This window comes from Homo sapiens, chromosome 1, assembly GCF_000001405.40.
Source record: "Homo sapiens chromosome 1, GRCh38.p14 Primary Assembly".
Taxonomy (NCBI): Eukaryota; Metazoa; Chordata; class Mammalia; order Primates; family Hominidae; genus Homo; species Homo sapiens.
The window spans coordinates 182,676,303-182,699,305 of NC_000001.11; the positions used below are offsets into that span (position 1 = coordinate 182,676,303).

Below are 23,003 nucleotides of genomic sequence, written 5' to 3' on the forward strand. Positions count from 1 at the left end.
CAACATACCACCTAGGATAATACCACATTTAAAGCTTTTAATAAAACAGTCATTTGGATATTAGATTTGAATTCTGGTCAGCATGCTAAAGCTCTTCCGTAAATCTTTTAAAAGCAATTTCCACTTCGTAGCTTCCTAGTAACAGTAGAAACATGAATCAACATATGCTGCATTGATTTAGGGTTTCCATGGAAACCGGAAGGACACATGGAAGGGCAGGACAGAAGGAGGTCACTTGGCCCAAAATTCTACTTTAAAAAATGCACCTCTATCTCATTCCTCTGAGCATTAGCAGCCTCATTTCCTGTTCATCAGTTCAAGCATCCACATATTTAATTTGTAATAACGCTGCTCAACTCCTCATAAGGAACATCAGAGGGGACATGGAGAAAAGTCAGCAGCTGAAGCTGTGTGCCCATGAGGTTTTCAAAGAAAACCAAGAAGCACAGGATTTGGAATCAGAAGAAAGGGCCTTTGGTACTAACTCTGCAATTAACTAGCTCCATGACACTAACTACTTCTACTAGCTCTGTGACCACCAACGAACATCACCAAGACATTTCAACTTCAATTTCCTCATCTGTAAAACACAAATTAACACACCTGCCCGGTCTATTTCTCAGGGCGATTATATGCAAAGAAATGAGAAAGTCTATGGGGGAAATGCCCTGTAAATTCCAGTACATCACACCCTATTATTATATTTGAAGATGATCTTGGCTTCCCTTTAAATGGAATTTTGCCAGTGAGCAAGGAGATGAAAAAAACAAAAAAAAAGTTTCCTAATTTAGTGGAGATTAGACTGACTGGAAAAGAAAGTGTGGTGGATTTGACAGCCCTGAGCTTCAACCCCAACTCCGTAATTTTCCAGATTAAGGGCAGATCCAGAACTGTGGGCAAGCTACTCGCCCTGTCTGAGTATCATTTTCATCATGGATAAAATGAAGATAATAACAATAGCAATGTCATAGTCTCGTTATAAGGATTGAATTAGATAATGTAATGCAGTCTTCATCACAATTCTTGACAAACGGCAAATAGCTGTTCTGTGTGAGCCACTTTTATCATTATTCGTAGTCTTTTCAACTATATTTTATCATCTGTAAAATGGTAATTAAATTTCCTACTACTTCCTCATTTTACATAGAGGATTACTTAGATGTCTGTTCAGCTATTTAATAAGCTGTTTGGGGAAAGGTGCTATATAAATAGAATGCCATTATTTAAAGTTTCACTTTTTTACCACCTGCTCAGCGAGGTGAGACAAAAATGTATAAGATAGCACATCTGTAATGATTCTCCAGCTGCTCAGTGGCTGGGGGTTACGTAAGTCTCTGTTACCTTTCTCATTTCCTTTTGTTCCTCTTGAGCATTCATTTGTCTCCTCACTGCTCACTGCAGGGTTTTCCTCTTGCCAGCCTCTTTTCTTTATTCACTACTTTATACTCCCCCTTCTAAGTGTGTCTAGAAAGAAATTTCAAAGTTAAATTTTGGAGGCTTTGGTGTCTAAGCCTGCGATTCTTCCTTAGGTCTCCTCAAATGAAATGGTATAGCAACAGCAAAGGAAATGAAACAAAATCAGGAGATGTTAGAGGATTACACAGTGCTGCCTCGCAGACAATGGCCATCAGGGTTAAAAATAAAGCTGAAGAAACACCTCAGCCAAATGTAATACATGGACTTTGTGTTGAATCCTGATTCAAATGTAAAATTTTAAAAATAATACAGTGCAATTGAGAAAATCTAAACACTGATTAGATATTTAATAGTATTAAGACATTATCGTTATTTTTTAGTGCAATTTTGATATTGAGGCTTTTTTAAGAGACCTTATCTTTTAGAGGTATACTCTGAAATATTTATAGTTGAAATGATATGCTATCATGAACAGCTTCAACATCATCTTGGGTGGGAAGCTGGGTGGTAGGTACGTAGGGACTCATTGTTCTGTTCTCTTGACTTGTGTATATTTGAAATTGTGCCTACAATGTGTGGCTTCAGTAAAATAAGCCAACAAAGTACAAGAAAACTGAAATACAGAAGGAGGAGACTATTTGAATGGAACTTGATTTTCTGTACATTTTCCATTGTAAGTTTTTCTCCCCTTGAATAAATCCATTTTAAGAAAAGTCTATTATTTTATGCCTAGGGAGCAGGTGCTAAAATTCACAGAGGTTTAGAGTGGGTATAACTCCTAGACATCACCTACAGAAACTAAACTTTGAAGACTTTGTCCAATGTCACATTTCTTAGAGGCATAGCCAGGACTCCAACTCAGAGTTCCTGGATGGAATCCAGCCACATCCTTTGTTCCCACTGCTGAGCTGCCCATCTATACAGGCAGAATTCAGGGCCATATGTTAACACTGGACAAGGAGAGAAATGATGGCCTGTTTGCTCACCTCCACAGCCCTTCTCTGTTCCTACTATGATCACAGCCTTAAACACTGAACTCAGGTTTTACAAATGACCTTTCCAGTGGCCAACTAGTTTCTGTGAGGGCAGCTGAAGGGCAGGAAGGTAGAGTGGAGAGAGAGAGCTTATGCAACATACACAACTCTTCACACCCTCACAACCTGATCTCCTGTCCCATCAAGATCATCAAGGCCTCAGGTATGAAATACCTGGACCTCTTTTCACTTACTAACAACTCCTACTAATCTATCCATATTACACACACCCTGACCTCCTTCCAGCTGCCCTCAGATGTGTCTATTTAAGGTGAATTCTTCCTCCTGTGGCCTTCCACCTATTCTTTCCCATGGACCCTCCTTTATGAACTCTATCTTTATTTTCTCTTTCTCACATGTTATTCTGCACTTAACAAAAACAATGTTCATCTCTTTTATTTAAAAAAATTCCCCTTGGGAAACACCCTTGGGTGTTTCTCCTTTTATCAGCAAAACTGCTTGAAAGAGTCTCCTCTGCTTCCTCACTTCCTATCCCCTCCTAACCCCTTTGCCATTTGGCTTCCATTCCCACCATTCCCCCGAAACACAGCCTCCATACTGTGAGGTTCAAGTGGAAATGTTCCAGTACTTGTCTTTATGAACCTCTTTGCTGCCTTTGCCATGGTGACCATTCATTTCTTGGATCTCTCTCTTTTGACTTCCCAACATTACACTCCCCTGGCTGCCCTTCCCCTTGGTCTCCTTTGCTGGCTCCTCCTCCTCTGTCCACCCCATAAACACTGGTATTTTCCTTCCTCTCTAATCTTAGCTTCCTGCCTCTCTCACCTTGCATGCTACTTGGGCAATCTCATCCTTGCCCATAGTCCTAACTACATTGGGTATATTGACCATTTCTAAATATTTTTGTCCAACTCTAGCCCCTCTCCCATCATGTAGACACCAATAGCTCCCAATCATGTAGACTCCGATAGTCCTTGGGTTGCTGAACATACCCCTCAGATATCCTACAGGCCTAACAACTGCAAATATATCTAAATAATGGACACATCATATTCCCATCTTTTCTTGGCCCATTTTATCCGCCGCCCTCACCACGCCCACCTCCCACTCCACCCGCACCCCCTACACACACATATAAACCTTGGCTTCCTCTGGAATTGCTGATCTCAGTTTCTGGCACCACCATCTACTGAGTAACTCAAGCCAGAAATAGGAAAGTAATTACAGGCAACTCCCTTTCTCTCATCTCCTGTCGACAACCAATTACCAAATCATACTGATTAAATCTTTCATAGTTTTCAAATCTGTCTCCTCCCCTCCATCCTCGCTACCACTGCTCTGGCTCATGTCCTTACGGTCCTGGTTCACGTCCTCACAGTCTCTGGTCCCCATGAGACAGCCTATTTTCTTAAATTCAGCTCCAATCTGCAGCCATAATCACCTGGTTAGTCACAAACATGACTGCATTTCCTTCTCCTCAAAACCTTTAAGCCCTCCTACTCTAGGGATAAAGTTCCAGCTTAAGAAGGATCCTGATACACAAACACCCCAAGGTCTGGCTACCTTGAGAGTCACCTACCACTTCCCTGGCTTGTCCTTCAGGCCCCAATAACTCTACACTTTCCATAATCATGAGCACATATCACAGGGTTCCATGGCTTTGGGCCTCCTTTATTTCATTTCCTCTGCCCAGAATGTCCTTGATCTGAGTGAGTCCTGCTCATCCTCAAGCTGCACTTCAGGACGACTTCTCCAAAAGCCTCACCTGAACACCCAAGTTCAGGAAATGCCCTCTGTGCTCCTATGGCTTCCAGGCACACTTCTCTATGTCAGCACCTGGCATAGCTAGGTACCTGCAACTCTCTTCTCCTAACCAGATCCTAAGTTCATCAAGGGCAGAAAGCATGGGTTCATTCATTCATTCATTCATCTGACTAACATTTAAGTGTCTCCTATGTGCCAAGCAAGGTCCCAGGCATGGGTACATTACATTCCCTATGTACATTGCCTAGGTAAAAAACGTATTTTTCATCTCTACACCTCCAAAATGTAGCACGGTCCCCGGCAACAGGAAAAGGCTCAGTTAATGTATGTTGAGCTGACACGAGCCCCCCAGCAGGTAGGTGAGGAAACTGTGTTTGGTGTAGGATGCTGGCCAACAGAGACAGTGTGGAGTCACAGAGTGGCACAGGCTCCAGGGTCAGCAACAAGGGTTCAAGCTCCAACTCTGCCCCTTTATGGCAGGCTCTCCTTGGCTTAGGACCTTGCCTTCTCATCTCTGAAATCAGAATTACTAAGGCAATGCCCACTTCCTGTGTTACTGCAAGAATTCAGTGAAATATATAAGTAAACATGGGCTGTAAATCACTTAGGCTTATGAAAACATTGAGTCACAGGGAGAACATCAGAGTCCGAGAAGGCAGAAGCCCCACACCCAGTGGGGAGAGGTGTGGAGGCTGCATGGATGGGACAGGAGGGCCAAAGGTGGAGAAGCAGAGGGATGTAGTTTTCAAAGCCATGGAGCTGAGAGGCAAGCATGAAACCCTGTCACAACTGAAATGTGGCTTTCCCTCCTATCGCTCAGTGCCAGGGTGCTGGTTATCAATCTCTTCCCCTTCTCAGATAGTAACAAAAGCTTTACCATTTGCCATCAGAGTCTACAGCTGTGGGCAGAGAGCAGCTTCAGCACTCTCCCCCTTCTCTGAATATAAAATAAGCTCTTTCTAATCCTCCATTTTTAATGACTTCAGGCAATGGCTTTCATGTCCTCACTCCTAGCTCCATTCTAGCCAGACACCTAGAATCACGCAGCAAGGAGAATCCACAGCCATCAGACCCAGGAGTGGGGTTCGGCCACAGCAACAGCAGCAGGGAATAGTGGAGTGGAGTCTGGGACTCTGGGGACAGTTCTCCCACTGGTATTTGCTCCGAAATTCACACAGAACTGGGAACTGAGAGCACTCAGTGAGACGCCTTGCTTGCGGGCATGTGCTGGTGCACGTTAATGTCTGAGCTGGAGGCGGGAGGAGGGACGAGGGCTGTGTGGGTGCACTCCGATGCACGGAGATGCTGAGCAAATTCCCCCTGACACTTTTCCTTGAGAGACAAGGCCCTGGGAGGAATCAACCTTAAGCCACTCAGCTTTTCTGAGACCCTCTTCCTTCTAGAACCTTTTACTGCTGAATTCAAAAGCCTTTGGGAAATTCCATACAGAGAACACTGACCAATTCCATGCAGAGAACACTGGCAAAGGTTCTGATGATGATGCTGATATTTCTTGGACGTGAAAAATACCCCCCAGGCACAGAGGGGAAGCAAGAAAGCATTTCTGACATCTCTAGAAATGTAGGTGTTTGGACAAAGAAGAAACCAGAAAGCATAAAACAGAGAGCCTGGAATAGAATAGACAGGAAAATTGTTCTAAGTCATAAAGTCATTATATTAACAAAACTTACATTTGTATAGCGCAGTCACAAGCTGGGTTGTGCTATACAAATGTGAGTTTTGTTACTTATAATCACAAGTCACAAGTTGGAGCTGGGATTGAGAAAGGAAGATGGAGAACAAAAAGGACATTTGAGGCTTAGCACCTGCTAAGTTGGAAGAACAGGCATATTTCTGCACCCTTGCTCCTGGCAAGAGTGGTGGGCTTAAAGGTTCTGAAGGGTCTGTTAGAGAGTAAATGGGGATGATGATACAAGGACAGGTGCTTTCACTTCTCTGGCTGAACTTCCTCGAGTTTTTTTTACCCCCCTTGAGCCTCAATTTGTTCTAGGAAGTTGGGAGAATTAAACAGCATCATGTGGGCAAGTACCTGGCAAAGTTGTTCAGCACATCTTGACCACTGGGAGCTATCATTCCTTTCAGCTGATCCTCACAAGCTCCTTTGAAAGTGAGCCAGACACTTGTTATCACTCATTTTACAGATGAAGCTGCTCAGTGGCCCTGAGTGGAGGGCCCAGGGTAATTCAATTAATGGCCCTAAGAAGACTTGAACCCAGGACCTCCAGTACTTTTTCCACCCCAACTCTGCCTATTCAGCTCATGCTGCTGCTGACCCATGGCTGAGATCCACACTTGGAGGGTTTTTCTTAACAGAAAGATGAGGGTTTGGCTCAGCTGTCCATCCACACTCTTGCTCTGTCCTCTAAGAGCCCCTTGCTATAGTGGCATGGCTGTTGTGACTAAGGAACCATGTTCTCCAGGTCAGAGTTCACTGACCCACGGGAGAAAGACCTTCACCTAACTGGCATGTTTCATTCACCTGGACAAGAATAAGAGCAAGTTTTCAGATCCCTTTTTGTGTTAGACACTATGTGGAAAAAATCTTTAAACAAAGAAGAAGCTAGAAGGATGTGATACCCAAGGGAGGCTTACCTTGACCTGGCCATGGTGAGATGTGGGCCACACTACACACTCTACTGCCCACTCACTTATCACCTTTCCAGTCTAACACACACTTCTTTCAGGAAACCTGCTCTAAGAATGGGTGGAGAACAAACAGTTAATAAAGACTAGTTTACTGGAGTGATTGCTCACAGGACTCTCATTCTCAAAATAATAACAGCCATCATCAGCGTAATACCATGTTGCATGTTCAGAGCTTTTAACTGTAACCAAGAACTACTATGATCTCATGAATACAGTTATCTCACTCCCACTTGCCAGCACCTCCTCCATTTTCCAGGAAAACTCTAAAGTTCTTCAAATCTGTAAGAACAAACAATCCAGAATTAACCCAGACTTCAGGATGGGGTAAGCTTTCCTTCATTATTTCATTAGACTCTAAGCACCCCAAGGTCAGGACCTACAAACACTTGCAAGCCAGGTTCTCAGTATGTAGTTCAACAATAGGTTGATATTGAGTCACCATTCTATCACAGAAAGAGAAGAGCAACCCTCTTCCCAGTGCTCAAAAAAAAAAAAAAAAAAAAAAAGTCACTGACTAGACAGTGCTGAGAAGTACCCATTTAGCTGATGCCACGGACTCTTCAGTCCCTGTAGGAGGCAACCGTGCCCTCAACTCACTGCTTAGAAATTGGTGACCTCCAATTTTAATCTCCCTCCAACTCATTGTGATTGTGAGTTCTTCTGCATCGGAATGTGTGACCAACGTTAGTCACCAGCAACACCAAAGACCTGCACATGTACTGGAAACAAAACAGATTCTGTGTGCTGCCAGACTGCTGTGCAAGCAACCCATTTAAAACAACAGCAGAAAAAGACATGAATGAAACTAAAAATAAAGAGACAGTGTTATCGTCCAGATATCAACCTACAATATTTTCAGAGCCCCCTAAGGGAGCTGAGGGAAGAAACAGGATCACCTTTGAGGAGAAAGCAGGTGTTAGGGGACCTGAGGAGTTAGGGTTGAGGAAGGAGGATGGAGAACACAAAGGACATTTGAGGCTTAGCACCTGCTAACTGGGAAGAACAGGCATATTTCTACACCCTTGCTCCTGGCGGAGGTGGCGGGCTTAATAGCTCTGAGGAGTCAGAGAGTAAATGGGGACAATGACAGGAGGCCAGAACCTTTTCTGCCCTGCAGTGCCCTGCACCTCTCAGCAAGACTTATAGCCTGGGCTGACCTGCCCAGGGACCCACTCAGGCCCTGATGGAAGCAGCTGCTCTTTCTTACCTGCCTGGCGGTGGGCAGCGCAGCTGGGAAGGTGTGGCTGGTGCGGGCCCCAGCTGGGCATGGTTCGGTGAGGCCCTGAGTGATAGAGTCAGCCACCTCCTCCTGGCACCTGGGAGAGGGTGGCAGAGGGCAGCCCACTTCACCCAGCGCCCCTAGAATAGCGGCTGCAACATGCTGCTCCTGCCGGCTCCGCTCCTCTCCAGGCTCTGCATCTCATGAAAAGGGAAAGAGCGAGTGAGCGGCAGGGGAGGGGGTGGGGAAGCAGAGGGAGGGGAGAGGGGCACTCTGACAGATGATGCGCACTGCCACGCAGAGTCGGGGGAGGACCGCAGGCTCCAGCAGGATGGCACTGCCTGTGTGGCTCTCCCGCTCCCAGCTCGCTCACAGACAGCTGCCTCCGAGGGGCTGGTGGCTCTCCAGAATTCAGGGAGAGGCAGAGTTCAGAGGGGATGGCAGAGGGGAAGGTGAGGGAGGGAAGAGATCACCTGGGACACAAGGAGGCGAAACGGGGTAACTGGCTTGTGGGAGAAAGGATAACCTGCTTTTGCTCAAAACATTCCAAGGTGAAAGTGGTTGCTTTATGAGAGATGGCGAAGGGGGAAAGATAAAGCCCCATATTCCTGGCCTGGCTTCAAGGTTGTCGCTCTCCTTTCCTAACCAACAAGGCCACTTTTGCTTAGGATTTCAGCAATGGCTAAGGCAATTTATATCACGCACAGCTCCAACTTTCTCAAAGAGGCAAAAAAAAAAAAAAAATTAGACATGAAAGAGTGTAATGCATGAAATGTTCTGTGTCATTTGTCACCCTCTGCTGCAAACAAGCCTGACTGTCCCCTCGACCACCTGCCCATCCTGTGGCCAGAGGGTGGTGGTGGCAAGAACAGGAGCAAGAGGAAGCATCATGGAGAAATGGGGAGAATGTGACGCTTCTGTCTGTAAAGGTCCATTTGGAGAGTCAGGACAAAACCTCTTGGACAGCTTGGGCCAGAGCCCAGAGCAGCTTTGGAGTGGAGAGGTGACCCTTCACATGGATCCCACAGTCTCCTGGACCTGCCATGCACATGAGGCAGGTTCACTGCGCAGGGCGGAGCTTACAGTCACCAGCTCTATTTACAACCACAGCCAGAGAAAGAGACTGACAGGGAAGTAAATCAACAAACCATGGAAGACAGAGAAGACCAAAGGAAGCTGCAGCTGGGGAACTCTCCACAAACACAGCTAACGATGGGAAGAGCAATCTCAAGCAAGGGCCTTCTCTGGAGGGAGGGAACAGGAGGCAGAGGGAGGGCAGAACACGACTCTTGCAGGTCTCCAGTGAACTGTCCTTCCCTGCTGCACTCTGGGCGTTCTCAGTCAAGCCTGACTCCTGAGGTCCTGACAAGCACTGACCCACGAGATGACCCCTCAGGGGACAGGTCACCATTTCACTGCTGCACCATTTCGACAAAATCAGGCCGATTCAGCAGACAACTCTTGGGAACCTAGTATGTGCTGTGGGGGATGCAGTGACGACTAAGACCTCCTTGTCATGTATTAGGTGACCCAGTGGAGGAGAGAGAGATTTAAATAGCTGACTCCAATGCATGGAGAAGTGAGTTAAGCACTCACAGAGCTCTGCGGAAATGCTGGGGGAGCACGGAGGAAGGGGGATTAAGTCCAACTGGGAAGTCAGGGAAATCCCCTCAGAGGAGGCGTCCTCTGGACACAACCTGCACCCTGAAAGTTACATGTGGATGTCGACAAGCAGAGTCGACTGGGCTAGAGAAAGCAGGGCTGAGGAACAGCCTGGGCAATGGCATGGAGTCTAGAGGTACCTGGTATGTTTGGGAAACAGTGAGTGTTCTTTCTAGGGAGGCAGGAGAAAAAAGTAGAGTGTGATAGGATGCCACAGTGGTGAATGCAATGTAAAGGGTCCATTGGGACCACACGGTAAAAACTTTAAACAAAGAAGTGTTGATCGAATTTTTTTTTTATCATCAGATCTGTGTTTTGAGAAGATACTAAGTGGAGAGGGATTGGAGGCAAGTAAAGCCCATCAAAACTTGTTACAAATTCCTAGGTGAGAGAAGATGAGAGCCAAAAAAAGACAATGGGCTTGAGAGGAAAGGACAAAGTACAGAGATTTGGGGAGACTGAATTAGCATGACGAGATCCTCTGTGAAGGATAGGGTGAGCTCAGAATGTGGGGCTTGGGGATGGGAAGGAGCTGAGAATGACTCTACAATCCATTTGAGAACTAGTTCTTAAGGCTAAGGGACCTAGGAGGAAAAGCAGACTTTGACCTGCAAATGAAAACTAATTGTGTGTTTGCCTGAGCTCTGTTGATAGGCCAGGGCAGAAGTGGAAGAGGAGTTGGAAATACAGCATTGGATCTTAGCAGAGAGGTAGGATTTGGGAGCTCTCCACCTGAAGAAAAGAGATGAGGGGAGTAAATGGAATCACCCAAGGACAGCAAGAGAAGAGGGGCTGAGGGCAGGACTTTGAGAAGTGACTACATTTACAGGAGGAGCAGAGAAAGAGGAGCCAACCAAAGATACTGAGAAAAATCATCTGAGAGAAAGAGAGTAGGAGGACCAGAGGAATGAAGTGTCACAGGAGCCAGGAAAGATGAGCTTTTGAGAAGAGTCAAATACGGCAGAGAAGTTAATGTGGGTGAGAACTGAGATGAAAATGGCAAAAAGAATTTTCGTCATAGGTGACCACCGGGAACGTGGCTTAGTGCAGTGCGTCTCAGACTTTAAGAGCATGAGAATCCTCCAGAGTACTTATTAAAATATGGATTTCTGGCCCCCACTCCCAGAGTTTCCAATTCAACAGGTCTAGGGTGGGGTCTGGGAATACGCATTTATTTCTTTTTCTGTTTTTTTCCCCCAAAGATGGGGTCTCACTATGTTGCCCAGGCTGGACTTAAACTCCTGGCCCCTCAAGGGATCCTTGGGCCTCAGCCTCTGAAGAAGGTGGGACCATAAGCCTGAGGGCTCCAGGAATTTGGATTTCTAACAACTTTCCAAAGATGCCAGTGTTGCTGGTCTGGGTACTGCACTTGACAACTATTGGCTTAGAGTATTGCTTCTCAGATTTTCAAATTATGGCACACACAGAAAATAATTTTTGTATGGAATACCAGAGTAAATGGAACCCAGGGCTCTGCCAGACTGCCCAAGGGCTGAGGGAAGAAATATCTCAGCACATGGCAGTGTACACTAGCCAAACAGGTTGGGGAGGTTTGGCTGAGAGGGATAAAAGGGGAAAAGGTCAAATACCAAAATGTGAGTGGATCACTAGGCTGTCAAAACAACAGAAATGGATTTTGCTTTCAAGAACAGGGACTCTCTTTCATCTTTGTACCTCCAGCACCAAGTAAGTATCTAGCATATATAGGGACTCTGCATTTGTTAGAATAAATTGAATTAAGAAGTTTGGCTGAGAAGGAAAAGGGAGATGTTGTTGCCTGCAAAAAATACAGAACCAACTGAACCAATACAGAAAATACAGAAATAAAGAAGAAAGAAACCCAGGTTTAAGAAGGCAGAAACATTTCTTTACCTATCCCTGACCAAGGAACTCCACCATTTCCTTAGTGAAGAGGGATTGGAAGACATCTCAGACTACATAGAGTTTATGGTACATTTACACTGACTTATGATAAACTGCATAGCTTTTAAACTGCGTATGTCCTATTGTCTGGTAGAGGTAAGGCTTTAGAAACCTTCTGCCATTGTGCAAATCTCTTTATTAATTCACTTGCCAGTATTTAGTTAGAGTGTTCTTAGGATAAGAAGATCTGAATATTCAGAGGAAGAGATTAAAGAGATTAAATGTATAAGAAAGGTATACCACCTAATACCTTGTCTTGATTTTTATCTTTTATTGAAATGAATTCTCCCAATAAATTGTAAGCTCTCTGAGAGCAGAGGCTATAACTAATTCATCTTTTCTAGCCAGTGCCCTCTGCAGTGCCTGTTACTTAGTAGATAGTACACACACACACTTTCTCTCTCGCTCGCTCTCTCTCTCTCTCTCTCTCATCTTCATTTTTAAGAAAGAAGGAAAGAATGAAAGGGAGAAGAAAGATGAGGAGGAAGAAAAAGAGGGAAAAGAAGAAAAAGAGGCGAAGTGTTATATGTGATGGCCCCAGAAAATGACCACGCCCTAATCCTTGGAACCTGTGACTATGTTGTCTTGGCAAAGGGACTTTGCAGATAAGGTTAAGCTTAAAGACCTTGAGATGAAAATATTATCCTGGGTTATCTAGGCAGACTCAATCAAATCATATGAGTCCTTAAAAGTGAAAGAGGAAGACAGAAGAGTGAGTCAGAGATAAAGCCAAAGAAGGAGAGATTCAAACTATGAGAGGGACTCAACCCATGTTTGCTAGCTTTGAAATGGAGAAAGAAGGCCAGGAGCCCAGGAATACAGTTGCCACTAGAAGCTGGAGACCAACCCAGCTGAAGTTCATCAAGGACACAGGACATCAGTTCTGTAATCACAAGGAATTGAATGCAGCACAACAACCCAAATGAGCGGGGAAACAGAACCTCCCCTCCAGCCTCCAGAAGGGAATGCAGACCCGGCAACACTGATTTTAGCCCAATGAGACCGCTGTGGGAATTTCAACCTACAGAGCTGTAAGATAATAAATCTATGCTGTTTAAGTCACTGTGTCCGTGGTAATTTGTTATGGTAGTAACCGAAAACTAACATAGAGGGGCTGTTCTTGGTTGTAGTAAGGACATGTCTTTGCATTTCAACAGGAGCAAAAAGCAAAAAACGGTATAGAGATATAGAAGACTGTTGAAAAACCAAAATCAGAAACTAGATGGCCTTTGCCTTTTAGTGAAATGTAAGATCTAAATCTCTCCCTAACAGCATCTCTCTCTCTCTCTCTCGTGCACGCGCACGCACACACACAGACACACACACACACACACACACACACACACACACACACACACCCCACAAGTGAATATCTGAGCTCAATCTTAAATAATTTATTAGGATCCCTTTCCTTCCCTGGTATATCTTACTTCCAGTAAAAATAGCTTTATCTCTCTGATTGATTAGCTACTGTTGAGGAAGTCTTTCTTTGCTCTCCTATACAGTATTATCTGTCACAGGGAACACAACAAATGCCTAAGGTATAGGAGGAGAAAAGTAGAGAGGGGCCATCTCCCCTGGCAAGAGAAGAGAGCCTCTGGTGATGAGAATGCAGAGCCCACTAACAGAAGGAAAGAAAGTAAATAGACAGCAGAAACACAATCAAAATCACCCAGTCCTGGGATAGGAAGGAGTCAGAAGATTCCAGGTAGACAGAAAATAGGATGGATGAATGGATGGATATGGATATAGATATAGTTAATGGTCAAAGGAACAAAGAAAGCTGCTGAACTCCACCATATGGAACAATTTATATATAGAGCCATGAAAGTTCAACTCTCCCTAGACTTGGGCGCAAATGGGCACAGGCCAGCATGTGAGCACATGCACATACACAATGACACTCATCACTCACAGAGTTTAAATCTTGTGATATCTCAAGGTCACTTCTAGGGAATAGAATTTAAAATATCTGTCTGGAGATCCTGTTCTTGGCCTGATCAACCTGTCTGAATAATCCTTGGACTTCATTCATTTTTCTTATTCCATTTCCATAGGCAGAATGTGGGCTCTAGGGTCAGAGAGGTACTCTGAGGACAAATCCCAGCTCAGCCACTTACCAGTTCTGTGACCTTGAGCAAGTCACTTAACCTCTCTATGCCACAGGGTCTTTTCCTGGAAAAGAGGGATACTCATCATACTTGTCTCATAGGGTTGTAAAGAGAGTTAATAAGTTTATGTGTGAAAAGCCTTAACAACTAATGGATAGCCCCTCTGCTCCTTCATAATTCATGCCCCCCTGACATCTCATAACATCCTGTACTTCTCTGGTACAACAATAGCACACTACTTTTCGATTACCCATTTTCTTGTCTGTGTCACCTGGCTAGACCATAAGCTCCATGAAGGCAGGGACTGAATCTGTCTTGTTTCACTCTGCTATCCTCACCTTATCCCAGGTATTCAAATATCAGTGATGGAGTTGTACCTCTCACCCTAGGTTATTAAATTCTTAGCATATAGGCATGGATGTTTAAAATATTTATCAGTATCTAGCTCTGTCCCTTTGGGCGAGTCATTTAAATTCTTTGGGTCCCCATTTTCTTTTTGTTAAATGACAGGGCTAGACTAGGTCATCTGTAAATTTGTTCCCAACTCTACAATTCTACAATTCTGTGCTTCATTTATACTTCTGGTCTCATCTGAAATAAATTGTTAAGTAGTTTGGACAAAAAATACCTCGTGATTTGATAAAACCATTACTAGGATATTATCAACAGCTGTGGCAGATTGTTGAAGTGATGGCCCTTCATTTGTTCACAGCTCTCTCTATCCATGACCTCTCTATCCATTACACGGTACTCTCTCCCACCCTGACTCTAGGTTTAGCTATGTAACTTGCTTTGGCCTACAGGACAATAGCAAACAGGATGCAAGTAGACTTGAAAAGCACTTACAAATTGGGGCTTGCTTTCTCTTGCCACTCTTGGAATACTGTAGCTTCCTCATGAGGAACCCTGCACTAACTTGCTTCATGAAAGAAAACATTTGATCCAGTCCCCTGTATTGTACCAACTCACAGCCAGTCTGCTGCCAGACATGTGAGTGAGTTCATATTAGATAATCTAGCTACCAGCCAATCCACCAGCTGACTGTTGATATAAGAGTGAGCCCAGCCAAGATTAGCTAAACTAGCTCCAAACTAGAAGAATTGCCCAACTGACTCACAGAATTATGACCTAATAAATGGTTGTTGTTTTAAACCACTAAGTTTTAGGATGTTTTGTTACACACCAAAAGCTCACTGATACATCATGGAGTAGCCCAAATTTTAGCTCTCTTCCTTGAACACCAACTATTTTTAATTTACCCCTCCCAACTTCATTTCTAGTATCAAAGAGCAAAACTGACAAAGGCAACGAAATGAAATCTGGGCTTTATTAGAAAGTTTACTTGTGAGAATCTGAATCCAGCAGCATGTCAAAAAAGTTAATCCACCATGATTAAGTAGGCTTTATTCTTGGGATGCAAGTTTGGTGTAACATATGCAAGTCAATAAATATGATCCATCACATAAAGAGGACTAAAAACAGAAACCACATGATCATCTCAATAGATGCAGAAAAGGCTTTCAATAAAATTCAACATCCCTTCATGTTAAAAAAAAAAAAAAAAAAAAAAAAAAAACCTCAACAAACCAGGCATCAAAAGTGCATACCTCAAAATAATAAGAGCTATCTATTTCAAACCCACAGCCTACGTCATACTGGATGGGCAAAAGCTGGAAGCTTTCCCCTTGAAAGCTGGAACAAGACAATGATGCCCGCTCTCACCACTCCTATCCAACATAGTACTAGAAGTCCTAGCCAGAGCAATCAGGCAAGAGAAAGAAATAAAAGGCATCCAAATAGAAATAGAGAATATCTCTCTTCACAGACAATATAATACTATACCTAGAAAACTCCAGTCTTTGCCCAAAGGCTCCTAAATCTAATAAACAACTTCAGCAAAGTTTCAGGATACAAAATCAATGTATGAAAATTAGTAGTTAGCATTTCTTTTTTTTTTTTTTTTTGAGATAGAGTCTTGCTCTGTTGCCCAGGCTGGAGTGCAGTGGCACAATCTCAACTCACTGCAAACTCTGCCTCCTGGGTTCAAGCGATTCTCCTGCCTCAGCCTCCTGAGTAGCTGGGATTACAGGCACGTGCCACCACACCAGCTAATTTTTGTATTTTTAGTAGAGACAGGCTTTCAGCACGTTGGTCAGGCTGGTCTCGAACCCCTGACCTCGTGATCTGCCCACCTCGGCCTCCCAAAGTGCTGGGATTACAGGCATAAACCATCGGACCCAGCAGTTAGTAGCATTTCTATACACCAATAATGTCCAAGCTGAGAACCAAATCAACAATGCAATCCCATTTACAATAGCCACAAAAAGAATAAAATATTTAGGAATTTAACTAACCAGGGAGGTGAAAGATCTCTACAATAGGAATTACAAAACACTACTGAAAGAAATCATAGATGATACAAACAAATGGAAAAACATTCCATGCTCATGGATAGGAAGAATCAATATTGTTAAAATAACCATACTGATGAAAGCTATTTACAGATTCAGTGCTATACCTATCAAACTACCAATGATATTTTTCACAGAATTAAAAAAAATTCTAAAATTCAATTTGGAACCAAAAGAGAGCCAAATAGTCAAAGCAATCCTAAGCAAAAAAAAAAAAAAAAAAAAAAAGCTGGAGGTATCACACTACCCAACTTCAAACTGTACAAGGCCGCAGTAAATAAAACAGCATGGTCCTGGTACAAAAATAGACACATAGACCAATAGAACAGGTTAGAGAACCCAGAAATAAAGCTGCACACCCACAACCTTCTGATCTTTGAAAAAGCCCTCAAAAACAAGCAACGGGGAAAGGATTCCCTATTCAGTAAATGCTGCTGGAATAACTGACTAACCATATACAGAAGATTGAAACCAGACCCCTTTCTTACACCATATACACAAATCAACCAATGTGGATTAAAGACTTAAATATAAAACCTAAAACTATAACCACCCTTGGAGAAAATCTAGGAAATATCATTCTGGGCATTGGCCAAGGCAAATACTTTATGGGGAAGACTCCAAAAGCAATTACAACAAAAACAAAAATAGACAAGTGAGGCCTAATTAAAGAGCTTCTACAGAGCAAAAGCAACTATCAACAGGATAAACAGACAACATAAAGAATGGGAGAAAATATTTGCAAACTATGCATCCAACAAAGGTTTAATATCCAGAACCTATAAGGAACATAAACAAATTTACAAGAAAAAACAATCCTATTGAAAAATGGGCAAAGGACATGAACAGACACTTTTCAAAAGAAGACATACACATGGCTGACAAGCATATGAGAAAATGCTCAACATCACTAATCATTAGAGAAATACAAATCAAAACCACAATGAGATACCATCTCACACCAGTCAGAATGGCTATTATTAAGACATCAAAAAAATAATAGATGTTAGCAACATTGTGGAGAAAAGGGAACACTTACACACAATTGGTGGGAGTGTAAATTAGTTCAGCCACTGTGGAAAGCCATCTGGAGATTTCTCAAAGAACTTAAGACAGAATTACCATTTGACCCAGCATTTTCATTGTTTGGTATATACCCAAATGAATAGAAATCATTCTGCCATAAAGACACATGCACATGTGTGTTCATTGCAGCACTATTCACAATAGCAAAGACATGGAATTAACCTAGACACCCATCAATGGGTGGACTGGATAAAGAAAATGTGGTACATGTATACCATTGAATACTACACAGCTATTAAAAAATGAGATCATGGCCTCTGCAGCAACATGGATGGTGCTGGAGGTCATTATCCTAAGCAAATTAATGCAGGAACAAAAAAACCAAGTGCCACGTGTTCTCAATTACAAGTAGGTGCTAAACATTGAGTACACATGGACATAAAGAGAAGAACAAACACACAGGGCCGTATTTGAGAGTGGAAGGTGGGAGGAGAGTGAGGATAGTATCCAGTACCCTACTGGGTACTGTGCTTATTACATGGGTGACAAAATAACCTGTACACCAAACCCCCACGACACACAGTTTACCTATATAATAAACCTTCGCATGTACCCCTGAACCTAAAATAAAATGTGGAAAGAAAAAAAAAAAAGAAAGTTTACTTGTATTTGTTTCTTCTGAAATTTTGGTCAACCTTTCTTTACCTCAGGATGGTAAATTTTTTTGAATATGTTTATTAAATTACACCTGTCATGACATCTCCCACTTATCTAATACAGCTTTGCAAGCTAACTCTCTGCTAGCTATTTTGCCCAAATGTCTAATCTTCCCAAAGGAAGTGCTTAGTCTTGGAGAGAAGGAGCCATCCTTGTTTGTCCTTCACAGTGTCCACTGTGGCCTTGCTTTCTGTGATTTCCAGACTTGTAAAGCTTGGCCTGGTCAACTTTTTAAAAATTCCGATGCAGCATCCACAGGATCATCAATTGTTTATTTTTCCAAGTAAGAACATTAAAAAATGCTTATCTGTGGCTGGGCACAGTGGCTTACGCCCGTAATCCCAGCACTTTGGGAGGCCGAGGTGGGAAGATCAGTTGAGGTCAGGAGCTCGTGACCAGCCTGGCCAACATGGTGAAACCCTGTCTCTACTAAAAATACAAAAAATTAGCCAGATGTGGTGGCACACACCTGTAATCCCAGCTACTTGGGAGGCTGAGGCATGAGAATCATTTGAACCCAGGAGACAGAGGTTGCAGTGAACCGAGATAGAGCCACTGCACTCCAGCCTGGGTGATAGAGCAAGACTCCTACTCAAAAAAAAAAAAAAAAGTTATCTACTATTGCCATCACTTTATAAAATAAAGAAAATTTTAACGTCAGAAAAGTATGAAACACATAATTGCAGAATGAAGGATAAGTCTTCACACAAAAGCACAGCTGGCGAACTTGCACCCACATATAGGTACACAGAAATTGATATGAAGAAACATATACACACTACAGTGCATTGGGTTGTTGTTTTTTTCTCTCATTTTTCTGTGTTCAGTGATGACTTTTTCTTTAACTGCTACCTATTGATAGACTGTATTTGGGAATCACTGGCTACATCATTGCATACGTGAAACAATAACTGAGAATACCAGAAGACCACAATCAGAAAAAGGTATTTGGCAAGAACACCTAAGAAATATCTTAGCATTCATAACTTCTGCTAAAGCGGTTAGTCTTTTTTCATATTGACTCTGGAAACCTACACTGGAAAAGACTTTGGCCCCTCCTACCACTGTAGCAGATCCAAGTAAGACAAGTTTTCGGTGCCACAAAAAATGGACACGTAATAAATAGCCACAACTCACATTTCGCAGAACACTTTGAAGAAAAACAAACCTTCCTCCATTTTAGCACACTCAGAGCTATTGGAGCTCAGGAATCCTATTGAAGGGGACTCTGCAGGCCAAATCTAAATTTTGAGCCACTGTAAAACTATCGCAATCACTTAAAAAAAAATTAAGAGGTAGGGTCTTCCTATGTTGCCCAGGCTGGATTCGAACCCCTGGGCTCAAGCAAATCTCCCACCTCAGCCTTCTGAGTAGCTGGGACTACAGGCACATGCTGATGCACCTGGCTCTACAATTGCTCTTAGCCATTTAAGAAAGTATTTCCTCCAACCCAGGCTAATACCTGATATGAACAGCAAGGGATACAGAAGTGGTTGATAGACAATGCAGAAGCAAGATAAAACAGAACAGCCATTTCTTAGTGCATACCAACTGCATCATTTACTCAGTCTTTAGAGAGGAGAGATTGGAGGTCAATACACTACAGCTTAATGTACATGTGCATATGCTTAAGATAAATATTGGGTTATATACATTCTGTATCTGGTAGATGTGGAATTTCAAAACTTCCACAGAATCGTGCACCTACACCTGCCATTTACAAGCCTCTGCACCCATATATAGTGCTCAATATGAATTTTGATTAAAGGATGAATGAACATCTAAACCTTCTGCTGGGGAGAGGATTTATTAATTTAATTAACATATTTATTTTGTACCTTTTATAGGCCAGACATTGTACTAAGGATACATTTGCTAGGGCTACTCCCACAAAAGAAACAATCTTGGTTTCTTCTCTAGTTCTCATTCTCCTTACCCTGCCTCTATCCCTCTGTAAGAACCCATCCAATTTAGGAATTCACCAATTACTCAACTTTTAGACATCCCAAAGCCATTCTCAACAATCGCCCTCCAAGCCTGTCTTTTGTTTCTGAACTGCTATTGCTCCAAACCTAGTCTCTGTCTAGCTTTTTTATTTTTTATTTTATTTCATTTTATTTTATTTTTGAGATGGAGTCTGGCTCAATAACTGCTCAGAGACTTATTGTATGTCTGGCTCTGTCACCCAGGCTGGAATGTAGTGTCATGATCTTGGCTCACTGCAACCTCTGCCTCTTGGGTTCAAGTGATTCTCATGTCCCAGCCCCCCGAGTAGCTGGGATTACAGGCACCCACCACCACACCTGGCTAATTTTTGTATTTTTAGTAGGGATGGGATTTCACCAGGCTGTTCTCAAACTCCTGACCTCAAGTGATCTATCCTGCCCCAGCCTCTCAAAGTGCTGGGATTATAGGCGTGAGCCACCGTGCCAAGCCTCTGTTTAACTTTAAACCTTGGATCTGGTGCCCTGATTTCAATCCTGTCTTTGTGCCTTGTAGCTATTGCTGTGTAACCACTCAAAAGCTTTGTGGCTTCAAATAATCACCATTTGTTATTGATCATGAATCTCTGAGTCATTTAGCTGATTTGGCTTATCTGGGGCAGGCTTGGTTGATCTTTGCTGGGCTGGCTTATGAACCTGAAGGGAGTTGGTGGATCAGCTGAGACTGGTTGGTCTAGAATGCTCTCACTCATGTGCCTGACATTGGGCTGTCTGCTGGCTAGGGTGCTAGGGGTGGCTGGGCCACATGTTTCTTATCATCTGTCTGGCTAAGCAAGGTTTTCTATTTTTATGGCAGAAGTAGGAGTCCCAAGAGAAACAGCAGAAGTGCAAAGACATTTTCAAGCCCAGGTTTGGATCTACTGCAACCTCACTCTGCCACTTTTTACTGGCCAACCCAAGCCATAAAGCCAGCCCAGATTCAAGAGGCAGAGAAACTCCACATCTTGATGAGAAAAGTTGCAGTCATGTTATAAAGGCATGGATATGGGCAGAGGTAGAGAACTGGGGCCATTTTAATGCTGAATCTACCACAATCTTGGTACTTGAATTTATTTCTAGAGTTTGAAATACTTGACTCTTCTTCTTGATATCAGACCTGGCTCATGTCTCTGACTTTTCCAACCCTGCTACCTCAAGTAAGAATCTCCACTCAATTTTCGCCCCTTAGGGGGCACCCTCTGAAGACAGCCCCTTGCTAACAAGAAGGAAATTCAGACCCCATCCATGAATCAGTTCCCTTATTCTTAAGTAATCTTTCTCTTGTCTTGAATAAAAGAACCCCTTCGGCTATTGTTAAAAATAGATATCTGAACCAGGCTGAACTCCGGCTGACAACTGTAATCAAAATTCTGATACCCGGAGAGGGCAGACCACATAAGAAGAACCCTTACAAGATGCTACCGTAACAAGGCTGAATCCTTATTGAAAGACAGAAATAAAATAGTGTATTTTCTCAATTCTAAAACACTTTTTTTTTCACATTTTCACATTTCTAAAGCTGAGATGTCTTATAATCAGTGTGTATCTATAATGTGGTAAGGTCGGTGACTATCCCTCACCCCAGCCAATCCTCCTGAAAAAATAAAGCTGAATTAAAAACATAATTCGTCTTTCAATTGATAGAATATTGTAACTGTAGTGGGCCACCACTCTTCGTTGCAAATGCCAATTGAGTGCTTACTAGAATGATTTAAACTGAAGCAGGAGAAAAGTAAGGCCATGAGAACCGGTAGGGTTTCCAAAAGCTTTGGCGTGTTAATGTTTCCAATTCAGGGACTTAGAGGGAATACTAGCAATACCAGGCAGGATGACACAAACAGGCGATTGCTGTCCTCCCTTGACTTTTTCTAGAATGATGATTATTGAAAGGGAACAGATGTGAGTTTCCCCTGTTTCTCCCTTCCCCTGCTACCTTCTGGCTCAGTGGCTGCTGGCCACTAGAATGGAGAGAAAGGTAAAATCAAGGAGAAGAAAGAAGCCAAAGCCACAAACCGGTTGGTGGTCTTTCTGTAAGGAGCTGGCATCATCTGGTCATTGCTTGATTTGTTTCATTCAGTTGGTTTCTTTTATTGTGTCCATCATAGTAGTTAAGCAGGCAGGCTCTAGAGCCAGACTGCCTTGGTTTAAATCCCAGCTCTACTATTTTAAAGTGCTGTGACTTTAGGCAAGTAATAACCCTGCCGTGCCTCAGTTTCTGCATCTGTAAAACAGGGGTCAAAAATTAGTTGATATTTGTACACTTACAATAATATCTGCCACATAGAAACATGAAATAATTTGTTATTATTGCCTCCTACTTGAAATTCCCTTGGAGAAGAAGAGTCTCCTTTCTCTGGAAAGCCAAATATAATTCTTTAAAGTCCTAGAAGCAACCTTAAGTCCCTCTCTGATGCTTATTTTCCCCCTAAGATTAAAGCCACATAGCCCTTTCCCCAAGATGTTTGCTTTTTTGTGGGTGAAAAAAGTCAGCAATATTATCACGATGAGAGTGAATTTGCTATTGAGCATATTCCTTTTTTGGTGTCCTAAACTCCACCAGTCCTAAGAAAAGGGCAGAGTTGCCCCAGCTAGAGTCAGGTGCTTATCATCATTTTGTTTAACCTTGAAATAATTCTTACTTCGTAAGCACAGAATTCACTGCATAAATTAGACCAAGGGGAATTAGAACAATGTGTGTGTGACTGTGTGCACACATGTCTCCGTAATGAATGTGGAGTTACATATATTCAGCACGTCTGTGTAAGCGCCCAGAGACTTATTGTATGCCTGAAAAATAGAGCCCAGAGAGGCATAAAGCTATTTATTTGGAAGAAATTAGACTGTTTTTTATGATTCTGAAAAGGTTAAGGCAGAAGATAGGTGGCTGCGTAGAGGGAGTTATGACTTGCGCATTTTGATTCATCTTTTCTTATTAAAAGCCGCCTCTCCAGCTGCTGTACTTTCATCACCCTGCATGCCTCCATCCCTGGGCCAGAGGGGTTTCCACATCACCACAGAGGCAGGCCTTCCTTCATTTTATTTATTCCATTTGGGATTAAACACATTGAAAGGGGGCCATGGCTAAATGGGTGTTTCTCGCCTGGCTCGGT

General features: G+C 43.0%; 1 protein-coding gene across 5 annotated transcripts in view; it reads right to left on the bottom strand.

The window, feature by feature from the left end:
• Positions 1–23,003, bottom strand: part of RGS8 (regulator of G protein signaling 8) — a 110,559-nt gene that overhangs the window by 34,485 nt on the left and 53,071 nt on the right. For 2 of the 5 annotated variants that reach the window (NM_033345.4, NM_001102450.3), the window contains exon 1: positions 8,050–8,285. The exons of 2 other annotated variants lie outside the window; for them this stretch is intronic. The gene's annotated coding sequence lies outside the window, so the exon portion shown is untranslated. Of the gene's footprint in view, positions 1–1,341; positions 1,465–6,788; positions 6,891–8,049; positions 8,286–23,003 lie in introns of those variants that run through there. One more of the 5 variants, XM_017002631.3, reaches the window with a different exon arrangement.